The sequence below is a fragment of the Homo sapiens genome, chromosome 6 (assembly GCF_000001405.40).
Source record: "Homo sapiens chromosome 6, GRCh38.p14 Primary Assembly".
NCBI lineage: Eukaryota > Metazoa > Chordata > Mammalia > Primates > Hominidae > Homo > Homo sapiens.
Genome location: NC_000006.12, coordinates 37,698,074 through 37,717,523, shown reverse-complemented (window position 1 = coordinate 37,717,523; position 19,450 = coordinate 37,698,074). Strand labels below are relative to the sequence as shown.

Genomic DNA, 19,450 nt, shown 5'->3' with positions numbered 1-19,450 from the left:
TGGTAGAAAAACCACCCCAATTCACTGGTTCCCCAGGGTACCACCTCCCCAGGTGGACTCTTACAAGGCAATGTTCCCCAGGGACTGTCTCTAGCTCTCTTCTTGTCTTCATCTTCATGTTCTCTGGGGCACTGCATCCATGATCTTGGTTTCAATGCACCGATGAAATCCAAATTCTTGTCTCCAGCCCAGATCTCTCTCACTCTTTTACTTAAAGACCCATTTGCAAGTCTTCTCCTTCCCATCCACATGACTCCAAGCTTTCATGGTTTACAAGACTAATATCCAAGGTAGGAATGCTTCCACAGGAAGACAATAATGGTTCCATTGAACTGGAAGGTGAGATTGTCACCAGGCCCTTTTAGTTTGTCATGCAAAAAGGGAGATCATAGTGTCGGTTGGGATGACTAACCCTAATTATGAATGAGAAAAAATGGGGGCAAGAAAGAATAGGACTTGTAGGACAAGTAGTTCTAGGTCAGGTGGTAAAAGTTAATGGAGGCTGGGTGCAGTGGCTCATGCCTGTAATCCCAGCACTTTGGGAGGCCAAGGCAGTCAAGAAGTTAGTCAAGACCTGAGGTCAGGAGCTCAAGACCAGCCTGACCAACATGGAGAAACCCCATCTCTACTAAAAATACAAAAAATTAGCCGGGCATGGTGGCACATGCCTGTAATCCCAGCTACTTGGGAGGCTGAAGTAGGAGAATTGCTTGAACCCGGAAGGCAGAGGTTGCAGTGAGCTGAGACTGTGCCATTGCACTCCAGCCTCGGCAACAAGAGCAAAACTCCTGTCTCAAAAGAAAAAGTTAATGGAAGACCATACCAACCCCAAACAGGCAACACCATCAAAGGCTCAGCCTTCTCCAGAAAGAAGGTTAAGATGACCCCACCAGATAAAGACCTCTGATCAGCTGAGGTACTCATGAAGACAAGTGGGACATGGGATGAAATGACAAATACCAACTATAGCCTGTGATCAGTTGCAGAAACAAGAATTATAGTATCCACCCATAGTGTACTCCTTGCTTTTCTTACGGATATATTTATCTCTTTTAACCAAACTTCCTTATTTCTCCCATCTTCATTCCCCATTATTTTTATATAAGGATATTTTTGATAGTTATATTTGCAATTTATGGCATAGATTATAGAATTTTGAAATGGAATCATGACAGAATTAGAAGGAGAATGGACCTCCCTGGTTATCCTGGTGTATTTACTGATATGAACATGGGTTGTCCCCCTTTGGGGAAAAGGGTAAGTTTTCATTGTGAAGAGTAATTACATCATGTTAGGTTTTCATGGTGGTCATCGTGGTGGGTAAGTCTGAGAAGGAAGAAGGGTATATATTGATGTTGGGCAGCCAAGAGGTGGACTGTACTAGACATTTGTCATTCTTCTTGGCTGCCTGGGGCTTTTAAGCCTTCTTTCTTTATCTGGAACCTCCATATCTTATGTGTCTGCCTCTCCCCTAAGTAGCAGCCAGAAGCTCGCTTTCCTGGGCTCCCTTATACCAGGTATGTAACTTAGGCTGCCCCAAATAAATGTATCCAGAGAAGTCTCTGAAGAAGCATGGCCTCTATTTTGGTGAGTGTAGCAGCAGAGGCACCCAACTTCCAGAGGCTGTGATGGCAGAAGTTCTAGGGAGTACCACCCCTTAGACCTGGGCAAGAGGAGTCCCTGCTTTGGCCCATGCATTTATAGAGTCCTACTGTGGTCCTCCTCCAGCCACACTCCTCCCGTCAGGGTCAGGAATCTGCAGGACCAAGGGACATGCCTACCCGGAGCCCACACCTCTACTTCTACATCGTGCTTTGAGAACCAGGATCCCAGATTTCCTGTCCAAATGGCCCCATACCCACTTCCAGGGCCTGTACAGGCCTCTTTCCTGGGTCTGTCTTCCGAAGGTAGATCACACTGCAGTGGTGTACCCTAAAGCCTGAGAGGCAGCCCAGGGGTGTTTGTTGGTGGGGGATGTGAAGAGAACTTGGGCCGGTAGGCAGGAATGTCTACACACAAGCCCAGGGGCCCCTTGCAGGGCAGGACAGGGCCAAAGGGAAGAAAGAGAAGGGACAGGGGCTGGAGGCAGATTCCCTGCACCACCCTTTTGTAGCACAGTTCTGAGGATTCTGAGTCTGAACCTGACCTTCCTGGCTGTTATAAAAGTTTATGTGTCAAGGTGTAGAATCTGTGGAAGACTGTATTTTCTAAAAATGGTAACGGCAGCGTGTCATCTTGCTTGCTCTTTCAGATCTTTACATTCCCCACCAAGAGGCAGAGTCCACTTCCCCTCCCCTTGCATCTGGGCAGCACTTTGTGACTGCTTTGATGAATAGAGTGTGACAGAAGTGGTACTGCATGACTTCGGATGCTAGGTCATGAAAGGCAATCCAGCTTCTTATGGGTGTCTCTTTCTTAGGAAACTTGCCCTTGGAATCCATCCATCATGCTGTGAGGAAGTGCAGACCAGTCCTCGTGGAGAGACACATGGAGAGGGACCGAGGCCTCCAGTCAACTACCAGACATGTGAATGAGTAAGCCTACAGATGCTTCCAGTCCCCAGTCTCTGAACCTTCCAGCTGAGGCCTCAGCATTACAGGGCAGAGACAAACCATTCAGGATCTGACTTCCTGATCCACAAAATCTAGGAGCTTAATAAATGTTAGTTTTATACCACTAAGTTTTGGCACTTCTTATGCAGCCGTAGTAACAGGAACAGATTCTAATATATTTCATTTAATAGATTGTGAGCACTGAGATTTTGAAATACTTGGATATAGAGCATGAGAGTCTCCATTTGTCCTCTTTCCCTGAGCCTCCCAAATGTTAGGGACAATCTCTAGAGTTCAGTGCCCAGTGTCAGTAGTATAGGCTGCAGAGTCTGTGCCAGTTGTGGGGGTAGATGGGCATCCACAGCAACAGGTCTAGGGTGTCATTTGGACACTGTGTTCCTGACTGTGGTTTCCAGGCCTCATCCTCTGGTCCTCCTAGAGATTGTGTGAACTACCTGATTTCCTTTGTAAATTCCTTTTCTGCATAAAACAGCCAGTGTGATTTCTGTTGCTTGCAACTTAGAAACCCTGATTCAGACAGAAACTGTTTCCAAGTTATTTCACTTTGATTCAGTTCAAAAGACATTAACTATCTGGCACATGGCTGGCCATATTTTTGGCAATAGTAACAGGAAGATGAAAAAGACAGAATCTTATATTAGATAATAATAGCTAACATTTATTGAGTGTTTGGATTGAGCTAGACACTGTGCTTGGCACTTTTCCTGCTACATCAAGAGTCTCACAACCACTTTCTGTGGCAGGTACTACCATTCGCCTCCTATCACTAGAGATCAGGAAACTGAGACTCAAAGAGGTTAAGTAACTTGCCTAAGATCACACCATTAGTAAACGGTAGAGCTGGAATCAGAACCTGTGACCATCTGACTGCAATACTTGCTTTTAACCATCTGCCTCCAGGCAACATCTGTGTTTGGTGGGACAACACACAGATAATGTCATTATAATTTCAATGAGTTAAGAGTATTATTCTAGGAGCATGAAGGAGAAGCATTTAGTGGAACTCCAGCAAGACTTCTGGGAAGAGATGTTGCCTGAGCTGAGTCATGAGGGATGTGGGGGGCTGGTCAGATGAAGGAGGATGGGCAGGACACTCCAGACTGTGCAAACCGCATGTGCAAAGGGCCAGAGGAATGAACTGGCATGCCCAGAGTGGCCATATTGCAGTGCGTGGGCTGGGAGCAGAGGGGAGGAAGGCAGGGCCCAAATCCTACAAGCACTGGTGCTAAGCTGGAGAGTCTGAACTTGATCCTGTAGGCTGTGGAGGGACACAGAGGGATTTTCAGTGGATTTGTGATTCAGAAGTCTCCTCTGCCAGCACAGGGGGTTGGCTTGTAACATGTGTGGGCTGGAAGCAGGAAGCCGCTGCATAATCCAGGGGAGAAATGAGTAGGGCTGCACCGAAGCCTCAGAAGCCTCAGTGATGGGAACAGGAAATGGATGGAAGGATGGAGGAGATGAGAGTTGGAGGAGGCAGAGCTGCTGAATTTGAATGTGCATTTGGAGAGGAAAGGAAGAGCCCAAGGTTAGGTTCCAGGCGTCTGCCCGGGTGATGAGAGAATGACGAGCCATTCACCAAGATGAGAAACATGGGAGAAGGAATGGGGTTTTGTGGTTTTTTTTTGTTGTTGTTGTTGTCTTGTTTTGTTTCTGAGATGGAGTCTTGCTCTGTTGCCCAGGCTGGAGTGCAGTGGCGCAATCTCAGTTTACTGCAAACTCTACCTCCTGGGTTCAAGCGATTCTCCTGCCTCAGCCTCTTGAGTAGCTGGGATTACAGGCATCCGCCACCACGCCCGGCTAATTTTTTGTACTTTTAGTAGAAACGGGGTTTCACCATGTTGGCCAGACTGGTCTCGAACTCTTGACCTCAGGTGATCCTCCTGCCTCAGCCTCCCAAAGTGCTGAGATTACAGGAGTGAGCTACTGTGCCCAGCCAGGGTTGTGTTTTAAGCAGATAGCTGGGCAGCCTCAGGGGGCTCAGCCAGAATATACAGCTCATCATCGCCAACAATTACCAAGTGCAGGCAGCACTCCTGGCCCTGGGCTAAGGGCTTACCTCACTGGATGTGGTGAAGATTCAAGAGTTAATACTTGTAATTGGTGTAGAATAGTGCCTCTCACAAAATAAGCACTCTGGAAGAATTTGCTCTTATGTTTACTACTGTTAGCCTTGTTTTACAGACAAGCAAACTGGGGCACAGAGAGGTGATGTAACCTGCTTAAGGTCACACAGCTAAGAAGCTGGCAGTCAGACTCCAGAGAAATGCTCCTGGCCCCACGCCACACTGTCTGCAGGTCACTGAGTGGTAATCAGAACCATGGGATGGATGAGCTCATGAGGGGGCAGTGTGACAAGGATAAAAGCAGGGGCCAAGGTTCTGGGCCAACTAGGGAGACCCTGGAGCTCACAGTGAACTTGTTCACCACAGAAACGGTGCTGAGGGTCCTTTGCTGGAAAGTGGGGATAAACATAGCACCTCTTAAAGGGCTGTGATGAGGGTGGAGGGAGATAATGCTGCACATGGAACCCGTAAAGCTTAGTTATTAGGATTAGTGGTGCTTGTGTTTGCATCTCCAGTCACTCGGAACCTCAGTTTCCTCCTCTATAGACTGGAGACCCTAATGACATCCCAGGGTTCCCACGATTACATGAGCGAATACGTGACTGCCCTTTGAGGACTGTGGAGTGTTCTACAAAGGTGGTGTATAGTCGTCCTCCAGCAATGGATTGGTAAAGGAGAGTGGGAGCCTGCCTTGAACTGGTGGACAGCTCAGGCCCTCATCAGGCAATTGGGTGAGGTTGGCAGGGTGGCTGGGAGGATGCGGGCCAGGCCTGGGCTGGCACCAGCTCACCAGGCCTGGGAGGAGTGATTGAGGCTGATAGACTGAGGCCTCCCCCATGCCTCTCCTATCTCAAGTTGAACAGTGTGGCATTCAATGCTGCTGCATCCTGGATGTACTCTTGCCTCTGCATGTGTGTGTGTATATATGTGTGGACATGCACACATAGGGGGAGCCCCTAACTTCCAGAGTCAGGAGGTGGCAGGTATGAAGTTTTCGTTGGGAAACCTGCTTCTTGAATGAATTCTATCCTGACCTCCTCTGACATTCAGTAAATGTAGTTGGAGTCCTTTAGAGCATTTGGTCTGTTTGGGTGTCTGTCCTGATATCTGTAAGCCAAGCCTGTGCATGTAGGTCTGTAGGGGCCGAGTAACAGTGCCAGTGAGCCCCACAGGGAGTGATGACAGGATGACTGTCGTCGCCAGGTTGCCGTGGTTATATACCGTGGCATATGCTGGTGGTGCCAATGGTGATGGTGTTGAGGGTGGGTCAATGGTGGCCTCTTGGCTGCCCCTTTCACACACTGCAGCCATTTTTCCTGCAGGTCGGGCCTTTCCTTGAGAAGGAATGGTGATGAGGGGGAGGCTGGGAGGAGAAGCAAGGAAGAGGAGAGGCATCCTTATCTCTCAGTACCTGGTGTTCTAACAGCAGCCCCTCCCTGACAGCCCAGCTTTTGCAATATCACTTTTTTCCTCCGGAGAGCAGTTCACTTTTGCTGGTATGATCAGGAAGGTAACAAGTGGGGAAAACTCCCTCCTACAGCATTTTAATCTAGGTGGGGTGAACACGCTCTGCCTGGCCTCCCTCCAGACCTTTGCTTAAATTGTCCCCACCACCTGGAACACCCTCCCTTGAGGCAGACATCTCACCTCAAAGCCTCAGCCTCAAATACGTCTCCTTCATTAAGCCTTCCTAGGTCTCGCATGATAGAACTGATTCCTCTGTTCTTGGTGTGCTCCTAGGTTGCAAAGGCGATTGTGTGGTAGCTGTGGATGGCTTTGAGGCCAACAAATCTGGGTGGGCCAGATTGTGTTACACCATAAATTGGATCAATGTCCTTCTCTGTTTTAGACTGTCAGCCACTATGGTTTGAGTTTGTGTGGCCTGAGACACCAGGGCCTGCTACAGTGGTGTGTTGGTAAGTGTTCAACAACCACCTGTCTGGGGGAAAGGTCTTGCTTTGTAGCCTGAACGTGGAATTGAGAAGAGATGCTGCCAGCTTGTGAGCTGGTACGACTTAGAGTACACAGCTGCTGATTCATCTCTCTGAACCATAAATGTTAACATCAGCTAGTGCCTAGCACATAGTAGGCCCTCAATGCATGTTTGAATGAATAAATGATTATATAAATGAATGAATGAGGCATTGGGTGGGTAGGTAAAATTCAATTAAGTGGCTAGAGCAGTGGTGATTCATGGCTGGCTTCGGGGTGGCGGGGGCAGGAGAGAGGGGGTTATATCTGTTGGGCAGAGGCATTGGTGGCCGGCACCAGGCAGATCCAAGATGTCACAGCCCACCACCCAGAAGGTCCTCCTGCCTCCCCTAGGCTTCCCCCAATGCCAAGGCTGCTTCACATTCTCTCATAAATAACCTGTAATGCTGCTGAATGCAGTTTTCTTGTTGGGGGTTTTGTTTCTTCAATCATGACAAAAGCCACACTAATGAGTTATTGGAAAAACCAAGCCCTGCTCCAGGCCAAATAGGCTGGGTGAGCACAGAGAGGGAGGTGCTGAGCATGGCAGCCAAGGCTGGGCAGGAGGTTTAGTGAGTCTCTGAAGAGAGCTGTCACGCAAGAGGGGATTTAAAGCACCCCAATAGCTTACAAGTGCCCAGGGCTTTACAGTTGGCACAGACTCTCTCCAGGAATCCTCCACAGCCTGGCTGGGTGGGTGTCATTAACATCCCGCTCCTCCAGGGGTTTCCACCTCAGGGCCTTTGTACCTTCTGCTCCCTCTGTCTAAAACGCCCTTGCCTCCAGCTATTCATCTGTCTCCCTACTCACTTCACTTGGCTTCCCAGAGAGACCTTCCCTGTCTACCCTGCCTAAAGTGATATCATCCCTCATTCTCCACCCCCTTGCCCTAGTATCATTTTGTTTTCCTGGCATCCATCATCACCTGATGTCTTGGGTTAGATTTTCCCAGAAGCAGGCCCTAAGACAAGGATTGCAGGGCAGGTGGTATTTGGTGACTCCAAGAAACACCCATAGGAGAATGGGGGAAGTGAAACAGGGGAGGGAACGCAGCCCATAAGGGGTGCAATATTTATCCAGTTACCACTGTGGGGAGCTGGAGCTCGGTCTCACTGGGGAACTCTGGGGGACAGTGTAGGGCATGCCCTCTGGGACATCCTGCCTGAGGGGTGAGGGAGCTGGTATTTATGCGGCTCCTGTGAGTCACTCTCTGAGGGCTGCTCCTGGGGACCTCAGGGGCCCTGGCCCTTTTGGCTGCTATGTGGGCAGGCAAAGAAGGTCTTGGGCAGAGACATATAGTGATCCTCCCATTTTCCCATTTAATCCCTCTAACAGCCCTATGAGGTGGGCACTATTTTTTTTTTTTTTTTTGAGACAGGGTCTCACTCTGTTGCCCAGGCTGGAATGCAGCAGTGCAATCACAGCTCACTGCAGCCTCAAACCCCCAGGCTCAAGGGGTCCTCCCAAAATCAACTCCAGCCTGGGCAACACAGGGAGACCCCATCTCTACAGAAAATTTTAAAAAGTAGCCAGGTGTGGTGGCATGCACCTGTGGTCCCAGCTATTTGAAAGGCTGAGGTGGGAGGATCACTTGAGTCCAGGAATTTGAGGCTGCAGTGAGCTGGGATCTTGCTGCTGCACTCCAGCCTGGGTGACAGAGCAAACTTGTCTCAAAGAAAAAGAAAAAAGAAAAGAAACTGAGGCACAGAGAGGGTCCTCAGGGTCATGATGCTGTTTAGTAGCAGGTTGGTACTTATTACTGTTTAATGTTCTTTCCCGTGTTTCATTCCCCACGGTCTGTGCAAATGAACATGTGAGCGTGTGGGAGAGAATCTGTATGTGTGTTCTTCATTTGCTCATTTGTTCATCATGCAGAGCTCAGGGACCTGTTGTCCTCTATAGATAGAATATAAACTGTATAAATAATGTAAATATCATCTCGATTATGTAAAAACCTGCATATAGAATAAAGATGGAAAGGACAGATAATACCATTTTAATGATTACCGTGGGTGATGGGATTATAGGTGATTTACATTTCTGTCGTTATATGTTTCTGTTTCTCTCCAGTTTTCTACAAGCAGCATGTATTATTTTTACAATCAGAAATAAATGTTATTTTCAAATATGGTTTTTTTAAAATTAAGTTCCTTTTGTGTTTCCCCTGCAGCTTCCTCGCTGTGCCAGGCAGTCAGGCCTCACCTGGGGTTTGGCCTTGCCTGGCCAGACCTCCAGGAGGCCTCCTGTGTGTGCTGCTCAGCTCAGACCCCTTCATCCAGAGGCCCTTAGATCCCTCTGCACTGGAGTGGGTTTGAATTTACTCTGCAACATCTGCATGCAATAAATGTCATGCTGTGTTTTTTTTTTTGAAGTCACATAAATTCTGATTCCAAATCTCCAATTGCCACAGTGCTGAGAAATCAGCCTTAGTTATGTTCAGGGGGATTCTCTAGGGTCACAGAAGAATCTGGGACCCAGGAAAAGAGGCCCTGTGCCTTGTGGTTGCCATGGTAGTTGACTCCTGTTGCTGTGGCTCCTGAACCCTGGGTCAGGCCTCAGGCAGGCCCTGCTGCCCTGGACACACTCTGAGAGGTCTTCACAGTAGCTCTCTCGATGACCACAGGAGGACCCCGAAGACCCTCAGGGCCTCAGCACACAAACAACCCCATCTGGCACTGCAGGCCAGAGGAACACAGACAAAGGCCTCATCTCTGTCGCTTCCAGCTTGGGGAGGCCCCATCTCCCTTCTCCTTCCATTTTACTCTCCATCAGGAGACCTCCACCTCCTAAACCTAACTGAGTCGGGACATCCCTCTGCTTTGACGACAAACCCCAAAGCTACTTGAGGCAACCCACCCCGCCCCTGCAACCACCAAAAAAACCAACCAAACAAAAAACCCGACTCAGACTCTGGCTTCAGTTCTTTTCTTGGGATGGAAGATGGAAGGTCGTTATTCCAAGCGCAATGGGAAAACACAAAATAAAATTTCAGCATAGATCCTGGCTACACAACTCATGCCTGAACCTTAATTTAAGGCTTCTCAGGCCTCTCCTTGCCAGGTCAACCAAAGACAGAGAAGCACTTACGTGCCGGGGGAATAGGATGGAGTCAGGGCAGCCCTACCTTCCCCTTTGTAGAATGCGGGTTGGAGATGGGAGGTATTGAAGGGAAGCCCAGGAATTGGAGTCAGAGAGACTCGACATGTGGACCCAAAGTAGATGCTCAGTAAATTCCTCTCGTATGAATAAATCCAATCTTGGGCACAGTCCTTCACATCTCTGAGCCTTACCATCTTTATCTGAAAAATGGGCATCTACTCAGTCAACAACCATTTCTTGATTACCAGGCACCCTTTAAGCTATGCGGGATATAGCAGTGAACATGACAAAGATCCTCCCTGACAGAAGCTCCATTTTGTGGGTAAGACACAATAAACGGGTCATGTCATATCCGCTCTAGTAGGATGGGTTGGTACCCAGCCTCTGTCCCCTCATCCTAACTTCATTGCCCTCAGCTGACTTCTAATTGCCTCCCCACCGCAGCCTCCCAAGTGCTGAGATTACAGGCATGAGCCACTGCACCGGGCCCATCAGTTTCTTAATCTGTACAGTAAGGTTGATGAAACCTCATTTAACCACCTTACAACATTTTCGAGAGGGCCAAATTCGGAAGTCATTTATTGGCTGTAGTGATATCATTAGGTCATGTGGTGGAGAAAAAAGAATGAGGAGCCTCAGCTTCTGGCATTTAATTTGCTGTGTGGCTTTGAGGCAGTTCCTTAGTTTCTCTGGTCTTTAGCTACCCACTTTGTTAAATAAAGGACTGGCTTATGATTCCTAACAAAATAATAATGTTTAGTATGCTTACTATATGCCAGGCACTATGCCTAGCACATTTCATATACATTTTCTCATTTAATCCTTCTAACAGCCCTATGAGGTTGGCACTTTCTTGTTTTGAGACAGGGTCTCACTCTGTTGCCCAGGCTGGAATGCAGTGACTTGATCATGGTTCACTGCAGCCTTGACCTGCTCAAGGGATTCTCCTGCCTCAGCCTCCCACGTAGCTGGCACTACAGGTGCGTGCCACCATGCCTGGCTAGTTTTCTTAAATTTTTGATTCACAGAGATGAGGTGTCCTTATGTTGCCCAGGCTGGTCTTGAACTCCTGGGCTCAAGCAATCCTCCCACCTCAGGCTTCCAAGGTGCTGGGATTACAGGCATGAGGCACCATGCCTGGCCTTGCACCATTCTTATGGAACCTGAGATACAGAGAGGTTAGGTAACCGGCCATGGTCGCTCAGCTAGTAAGCAGTAGTGCTGGGATAAAAATTAAGGACTTCTGAGCACTGCTGTCCAATAAAACTCCTGTGATGAGGGTAATGTTGTATATCTTTGTTGTCCAACACGGTAACCACTAGTGTGACTGTGAGCACTTGAAATGTGGCCAGCGTGACTGAGAAACTGACATAAATATCTACCAGTAGCTATGCCTTGGCCAGCGCAGCTCTAGTGTGCCAGTTTTTGGCCCCACTTCTTCGTGAGACGCAGCACCAAGTAGTGGTGAAGAGTATAGACTCTGACTCTGGAGCCAGATTCTCTAGTTCGATTGAACACAACTTACTAGCTATCTGTGACTGAACCTCTCTGTTCCTCAGTTGCCCCTCTAAAATGAAGATGACAAAGGTGGTCATGAAAGCAAATGGCCTTTATTATGGGCATTTGATGCTTATGAATTGTAGCACGCTCCTTCAGATAAACCTTGGGTTAGAGGATGAAAAGGGGGACAGATGGGCAGGCCGGATCATCCTTTAGTGACTGAGTGGGCCGGTGCCTGGGGATTCCTTCCAAGCCCGTGCCAGGCATGGATCCCAAAGGCCCCCTGGGATGGTGGGCATGGAGGGTCCCCAAGGAGAGCCGGGAGAGCCACGTAATAAGACGAGTTAATCAAAAGGGCAGCGAGTCCCCAGGGCTCACAGCGCTCGTCTCACAGCGAGCATGCGCAGGAGAAGGCCCGATGGCTCCTTCCCCCGCCCCCGTCTCTCTCTGAACCATCCGCAGCGTGGCCTGCAGGAGTGGGGGCCAGAACAAGAGCGACCTGGAGGGTGAGGGGCCAAGACAGGAGTTGGCGGCGGGGGCTTGGGGGTGGGTTGGGAAGAGAAGGAGCGAGGGAAGTGAGGTACAGGGTAGGATGACCCGCCAGCTTGTCCTGGGGTCAGGTCAGACCCGAGGGCGTGGCAGCAGGGCCCCCACGTTGTACTGGGGGGGCGGAGGGGGCGGGCGCCATGTCTGTCGTATCCTATGTGAATGGCGCCCCCTGTAGTTTATGCCACGCAGCGGTCGCGGGTGTGCTGAACGCCTCCAAGTCCACGCCAGATTTCCCGCCCCCCACCCCCTTTTACGTGGATCAAAAAGAGCTAATGGCTAAAGGAAAAAGAATTGGCTGGGAGGGTTAAACAGAAAGGGAGCAAGGAGAGTCACGAGGCCTGTCCCTGGGGCCCGGCCCCGGCCCCTCCCCTTCCAATACCGCAGATTGGCCGCCCCTCCTCCCCTTCTCCTTTCTCCTCACACCCCAGCCGGGCTTTTCAGGCTGGAGAACATTTGATCCTGCTTCCCGCGGAGCTGCCGGGGAGAAAGTTAGAAAGACCAGCTCAGCGAAACTTGATGCGTTCCACTGGGGCTGCTGAGGCCTGGGAGCAGATGCCTGAGGACAGAGCCACCCTCAGCCTGGCAGAGCCCCCATGCCTCTAGGAACGCACCTGATTCAGACCTCTCCTCCCAGACAGCATCTCAGAAGGAAGCAGCAGTGGGGGTTGCTAACCCCCTGCCACTGTTTACACAGGGGTTTCCCAGAAACCCTGGGCCTCACCTGCCTGCTTCCCTTCCCCGAGAATCAGTTTTCCTTCAGCCTGTACATAACTCAAACATGTCTTCGATCTTCATTATTTGTATTTGTCCGTAATCTACATATTGTCTGGATAATTTGGGCCTCCGTTATCCTGGTAATTTAGGTCTTGCCCAAAGCCTACTTTTGTTTGAGTTAGTCAGTGTAACCAACTCAGCTCATTTTATTTTATTTTTATTTATTTTTTTGAGACAGGATCTCACTCTGTCACCCAGGCTGAGTGCAGTGGTGTGATCATGGCTCACTGCAGCCTTGACCTCCTGGGCTCAAGGGAACCTCCCATCTCAGCCTCCCAAGTAGCTGGGACCACAGGCGCATGACGCCATGCCTGGCTAATTTTCTGACTTTTTTTTTTTTTTTTTTTTTTTTTTTTAGAGATAAGGTTTTACTGTGTTGCCCAAGCTGGTCTCAAACTCCTGAACTCAAGCAGTCCTTCCACCTTGGCCTCCCAAAGTGTTGGGAACTCAGGCGTGAGCCACCACACCCTGCCACAGTTCATTTTAATGAGCATAAATCAAATAACTACTGTGTGCTCAGCTTGGCACTGGGTACTGTGAGCAGTCCAGACATGAGCAGGACACTCACTCTACCCTTGAGCTCACAGCACACATGGAAACAAAGCACAGAGAACGAATGCCCACTCTAAGCCTGGGGTGGAGGGGTGTCATTCATGAGGCCAGAGTAGCAGGTGGGGCCTTTGGAGAGGAGCTGATCTCTAGGTGCCCTGTAGTCTGCTTAGTCAGAGATACCTCCCTAGGGGAGGTCAGTGGAGTCAGATGGGGCTGGGACTTCTTGCTGGGGTGGAGCCTGGCTTCCAGAGAGAGGGTGCTCTTCCCTGTGGGTGCCAACGGCTGCATGCCAGCTTAACAGTATTTCCTTCAAACAGGCCTCTTTCCCAGGAGCCCAGAAAGACATTTGCATTAGGAGAAAATACCCAAGTAAAACACAGACTACTTCCCTTGGGTTTGGCTGAAATTTGGAAAGCTGCAGGCAACCAGGCTTGAAGAAAGGTTAGGGGCCAAGACGGGGGGATCACCTGAAGTCAGGAGTTCGAGACCAGCTTGGCCAACATGGTGAAACTCTGTCTCTATTAAAAATGCAATATATATACATATATATATTAGCCAGGCATGGTGGTGGGTGCCTGTAATCCCAGCTACTCAGGAGGCTAAATTTTTTTTTTTTTCAAGCCTGGTTGCCTGAGGTGGGAGGACCACTTGAGCCTGGGGATTTGAGGCTGCAGTGATCTCTGACTGCACCACTGCACTCCAGCCTGGACAACAGAGTGAGATCTTGTCTCAAAAACAAAAAAAACAAAAAAAACAAAATGTTCAGTAAGAGCCTAGAAATCAGAGTAACCAGCCAGTGCCTTCCTAGTTCTCCATCCTCTTCACTTTTACCCATGTAGTGAACACTTGGTTGCTGTTATAGTATATCTATCTGTCCCTAGATCTATAGCCTGGCTCCATTTGTATTCCAGGATCTGTAACCCTGTAATAGCAGTCTTCCCCCATCAGACTACGGGCCCTTAGGGCCAGGGCTGTCTCCTCTATCAGACTTGGGCTACCTGAGCGCAGGGCTGTGTCTTTAGCTGTTGGATGCCTCCAGCACAATGGGGTGCCCAGGATTATATAGACACAATGCTTGGGTCCATGAATATTTGTTAAGTTAATGAAGAGTCAAAAGAACTCCACTTTTCCAGCCCATTTGCTTCTTCCCAGACCCACCCCAGTGGGGAAGCAGAGCCTGGTAAACCAGTGTCCCTTACACCTGCTCAGAGTGGGAAGACCATAAATTTCTCAAATCAGTATAAAACAAAATTACTTGTGATCTACTGAACCATCAACTCAAAAAAATTAAACAAAACCTCCCCTTTTCCAACATTAGTGTAGACAAAGGAAGCCCAGGTGACCCTCACTTGGGAAATGATGGCTCCAGATATCAGGCCTTGGAGAGAGCTCACAAGGCTTTGGAGTCTAGTGCTGGGAGCAGTCTCAGAGGTGGTCCAGGCACATGTGCTTATTGTGGAAATGAGAATCCAGAGGCCAAAAGGGGAAGGTCACATAATGAGTCAGGGTGTAGTCGTGACATAGTGGCCAGAAGTGGGAGAGGGACTCCTGTCTCCTTTGCGTTCTTCCCCACACCTAAGATTCTAGAACTGGTCACTTCTGTCACACTCTGTTAAACCAGTCTGCGAATGTCCCCTTGCCTCAGTCTTCACATCTATAAAATGGAGGGGGCCACATGTCTTAACTTACCTCACAGGAACATTTTAAGGACCAGGTAGGATAATGGATGTGGAATTCTTTGGAAAGTTCAAATTTGAGGGCACCCATGGAGATGGTTGTAATTTACAAGACAATCTAAATAAATCGGCCTTTCAAATGTGGGCATGGTTCCTAGTCTTGCAATCTAGCCCCATTAATATTCATTAATCAACTCATATGATAAGGATTTACTGAGCACCTACTACTGGCCAGGCACAGGGCCAGCTGCTGAGGATACTGTGGTGCCCCCTTCAGTTTATTCCCTACACAGCAGCCAGAGTGAGCCTGCTAAGTAAAGTTAGATCCCTTCCCTGCTCTGCACAAGACCCTGTCATAGCTCTTCTCATTGCGCTCAGAGTAAAACCCAACATCCTGCAATAATCCCAAGACTCGAATGACCTGCCCCCTAAATCTCTCTGATCTCAGCTCCTCCTACTCTCCCCTCACCTTCTCAGCTGCAGCCACGTCCTCCTCACCACCGCAAGGCCTTTTGTCCTCGCCATCCCCTCTCTCTGCAATGTCCTCCCCCTAGATACTGGCATGGTTCGGTCCCTCTAATCTTAAAGGTCATGACTGAAATGTTAGTGGGGTCCTTCTGGGTACCTTCTCTGACAGTTCAGCTCTTACATTTCCTACTCCTTTCCCTAGCTTTAGTGTTCTCCTTCATACCCTGTACTATCCAAATACCGTATTTTCCCCATTTGTGTAGTCTATTGTCTGTCTCTTCGCTAGACTATAGCCTCCATGAAGGCAGGGATTCTTGTCTGATTTATTTACATTGAGTCTGCTGTGCCTAGGGCAGTGCCTGGCACATAGTAAGCACTCATTAAATATTTGTTAAATGAATGAATGGTGAACATATAGACAAGGTCCCTGCTCCCATGCAGCCTGCATTCTACCAACAGAAGGTCTGCTGGGGGTGTGGGATGAGGAGGGGGGTGGTGTGGGCTACAAACCGTGAGTGACATGCATCTTCAGGGCCCCTTTTCTCCACGGGTATCATGGTGGGATTGCATTCTCACCAGTCTTGAGCCACCACAGTTTATAATAGGAGTTAACTGCCTGCTAATTAGCAGCTGAAGCCATTAATTGGCTATTTGTTAGAGCCCGAATTAATAAACTGGTCTTTCAGCGGGGTCATAACTCTCCCGTTCCTCACCCCTCCCAGTCATCCTTCCCCCACATGACCAGAAAGCGTCTTGCAATGAGATTGAATCAATACCTGCCACTGTATGATTTTCAGAGACAATTTCTCTCACAAGGCGACAACACCATCTAGCAAAGACTCTTCCTCTCTCTCTCTTTCTTTCTCTCCTCTTCCAGGCTGTCACTCGCCGGAGGCGAGCTAGTGGCAGGAGGAGATGGGAGAGCTTTCTAGTAACATGCTCTCACAACAAACCGCAGTTGCCCTGCTTGCTCAATGCCTGGAGCCCCTGGTTCCCTGGCCCCTGGCTTGTGGTCAGCAACGAGTTCCTGAAACCTCCTGGGGCCCAAGTGCTAGGTTTTCTTTGAGGCAAATATATATATATATATATATATATATATATATATATATACACACACACATATATATATATATATTTTTTTTTCTAGTGGGAAGTGACCTAGAATGATCTTGAGTGGAACCGAAGACTTGGCAGCTGGGTGCTGACCACCAAGCCTCCAGATAGCCTGACCTCAGGCTCATCCTGTGCCCTATGGCCCATGTCAGGTCTAGCAGTCTAGCTCTCATGTCCCCCCTGCCCTTGGTGCAATTTGGGGGCCAGAGTATTGTTCTCTGTGTCTGTAAAGGGAACAGGAAACAGTTCTTGTGGAAACATTATTTGATACCTAGGCCCTTGCCCCTCTTCAGTATAGAACAGTGGGAGAGGGCAAGGTCGCCGAGCCAAGCTACTGAGGTCAAAGCTCAGTTTGGCCCCTTAGCAGCTGAGTGAGTCACTACATCTTCCTATGTCATTCCATGAGAATAACAGCCCTGTCTTACATAATGGTTATGAAGATTAAATAGTTAATACAGTGCCTGGCATGTGGTGTCAGCTGTTATTCTTATTACTCCACTTCTCTCTAGGAAGACAGGGATCTTACCTAGTTTACATCTGGGGAAACTGAGGCCTAGAGAGGTTAGGACTGGGACGCAGGACTGATGTCTAGGGCTCTTTCCCTTCTCTGAGGTTGCCTCCCATTGTCAGACACTGGGCTGTGTTGAGGCAGCAGGCAGGGCACACTTGGGGGAGGAGACAGCTGAATTTACAGACACACACAAACAGGCTGTCAAGGTATTTACACTGCATACAATTAGCTGCAGAGTATTCACAAGTGGATTAGCTACAGCAAATGTTCAATCCCAGCCTGGCTAACTTGGTCCTCTGTTCCCCCCACCCCGCCATCATGAACCTTCTTTCTCCTCCAGGCTAGTGTGTGAGTTTAGAGAGGGCAAAGTCAAGAGAATGTCAGCTGAGTCAGTGCAGTTCTCTGTCCCCAGTAACTCACCCCAAAGCCAAAGAGGAGCAATTGACTGCTGTTTGGTGTTGGAACAGCTAATTGGAAAATCAGAGCGCAGTTTCGCACGACATGGAGAAGTACACATTCAGCTCAGAATGGGCAAAGCCAGGAAGAGCCACAGTCGCTGTGATCACTCCCTGAGAGCTTCCTGGAAGGGGTAGAGACTTCCAGGAACCCTCTAATAATGGGAAGAGGATGACAATAGAAGAAGCTATCCCTCATCACTCCCTCAATTGGCACCACTTCCTTTTCTGACTGGATGGGGGAGGCGGGAAGAGGCATGGTGGCTGTGTATCTCTGTGGGACAGAAAATGAATTTTTTGCCTTTGAGGTAACAGTCCGGGGCTGGGGAGTGAAAGGATGGCTACCCTGAGGGTATCCCAGGTCTGTGATATCTGGCCATGATGGGCATCATTCGTGAATTCACTGAACATGTCTGCAGCTGGCATCTGCTGGGAGCACCGCACTGAGTCTGGACTTCCTATCAGCCTTGGACCCACGGGGTAGAAAGGAGAGAAAAGACGGAAGAGGGCACAAGGGAGGCGCAAACGAGTGGAGGTGGGCTAGAGAATAGGAATCTTCGGATGTTCTCGGGCTTCCTGAGATGGACAGAAAGGGGGCTGAGAAAGGAAGGTGGAACCCCCCCATGCCACCAGGCACTTCCCGACACCTCCCGCTCCTCTTCCAGCAGTCAGGAGCGCGCGCTCCGGTGGGGCTTAAGCCCTGGAGAGTCAAGGGAGGAGAGACCCAGCAGGAAATGGGCCTGGGGAAGGGACGGTTCATTATTATTATTTTAAAAAAATTTATGTTTCAATTTATATGCAGACTAACCTTTTTGGAGTGTGGAGATCTTTGAGTTTTGACAAATGCATAGAGCCGTGGAACCACCATCAAGATATTGAGCAGTTCCAGGGGGCGAAGGGAGGGGGGGTTCGTAGTCTCCCCGCTTGTTAGCTGCTGCGATTGTCTGCGCTCCCACGGGCCGACCTAAAACAATTCTTGCGCACACGCTGAGATAAATAACGGCGACAGGTGGAGCAGGTGAGATTAGCAGGACCCGGGTTGGGCGCGGGGCGGGATCGGAGGCGCGGGGGAGGCCACCAGCCTCGCTTGCCAGCCTACGCCCCTCCCCGCGGGCGTTTGGGAGGAGCGTTCTCCGCACTCCTGCTCCGCGAGGGCCCCTTCGAGGCGGCTGAGACCCGAGTGCCGGACTCCCGCCGCTGGAGCGGGGCTCGGGTTCGGCAGCCGGAAGGAGGTGTGCCCCCGGGGCGCTTGGGGGCGCCTGAGGTCCCGAGGGGAGGCAAGATGGGAAGAGTGGCTAGCCGAGGAAAATGTGGGGTGACTTAGGGAAGCTCTGGCGGAGGGGTCGTGCGAGCAAACCTGTTGGCAACCTGTGGGCCGCGGCAAGGGCAGGAGCTCTCAGCGCGACCTCTCCGCCAGCTGCTCCGGCCCGGCCCCAGCACCAGACGCCTGGAAAGGGGCGGGGGCCTCTCGAGCCGGGCAGACAGCCTTGCAGACCCACAGCCGCGGCCCGTCTCGCGCGGCTGCAGGACCCCAGGAACCGCAGGCGCCCGGCCTTTCCCTAGGACCCCCGCTTCAGTCCCGCCTCCCCAAAGTGCAAAACATTTACGAAGTGTGCAGTGCCCTGCGGGCATGGGTCTCCGAAGCGAGCGGCCGTGTTTGCCCCGCGGGCTGCTGGCAACGGTGCACCCGGCTCGGCCAGCTAGTCTGGGTGTGCAAGGCTGGAGAACAGCGAGTGTGCGAGCGCGCGGCTGCAGAGCCCCCGCCGAAACCCAGGTCCCTCCGCCACTGTCCTCGGGATAGATGGATCCATTTCTGCTTTCTGACATTTTCCTGCTGGGCGGGGTTGGGGGGGAATGTTAGGGGGCGGAGAGAGGAAGAGAGAGAGAGGGAGAGGAGAAAGGGAAAGAGAGGAGAGGAGAGGAAGGGAGAGAGAGCGAGAGGGAGAGAGAGAGGAGAGAGAGAAGAGAGAGAGAGGAGAGAGAGAGAAAGAGAGAGAGAGAGAGAGAGAGAGAGAGAGAGAGAGAGAGAGAGAGAGAGAAAGAGAAAGAGAAAGAGAAAGAGAAAGGCAGGCAGTCAGCTTCCCCCAGCCCTGTTTTGTTTTCTCTAATTGGTCCTGGGGGAGGCGAGGAAATTGGACAGAGGCTG

At 50.1% G+C, this 19,450-nt stretch overlaps 3 annotated features.

Moving 5' to 3' along the window:
- Positions 11,689-11,948: a silencer, noted in NCBI's record as "silent region_17153". NCBI's record gives its function as "represses an Ori minimal core promoter by ATAC-STARR-seq in GM12878 lymphoblastoid cells {active_cell/tissue: GM12878}" and the evidence as "EXISTENCE:reporter gene assay evidence [ECO:0000049][PMID:35858748]".
- Positions 18,530-18,599: a silencer, noted in NCBI's record as "silent region_17152". NCBI's record gives its function as "represses an Ori minimal core promoter by ATAC-STARR-seq in GM12878 lymphoblastoid cells {active_cell/tissue: GM12878}" and the evidence as "EXISTENCE:reporter gene assay evidence [ECO:0000049][PMID:35858748]".
- Positions 18,620-18,689: a silencer, noted in NCBI's record as "silent region_17151". NCBI's record gives its function as "represses an Ori minimal core promoter by ATAC-STARR-seq in GM12878 lymphoblastoid cells {active_cell/tissue: GM12878}" and the evidence as "EXISTENCE:reporter gene assay evidence [ECO:0000049][PMID:35858748]".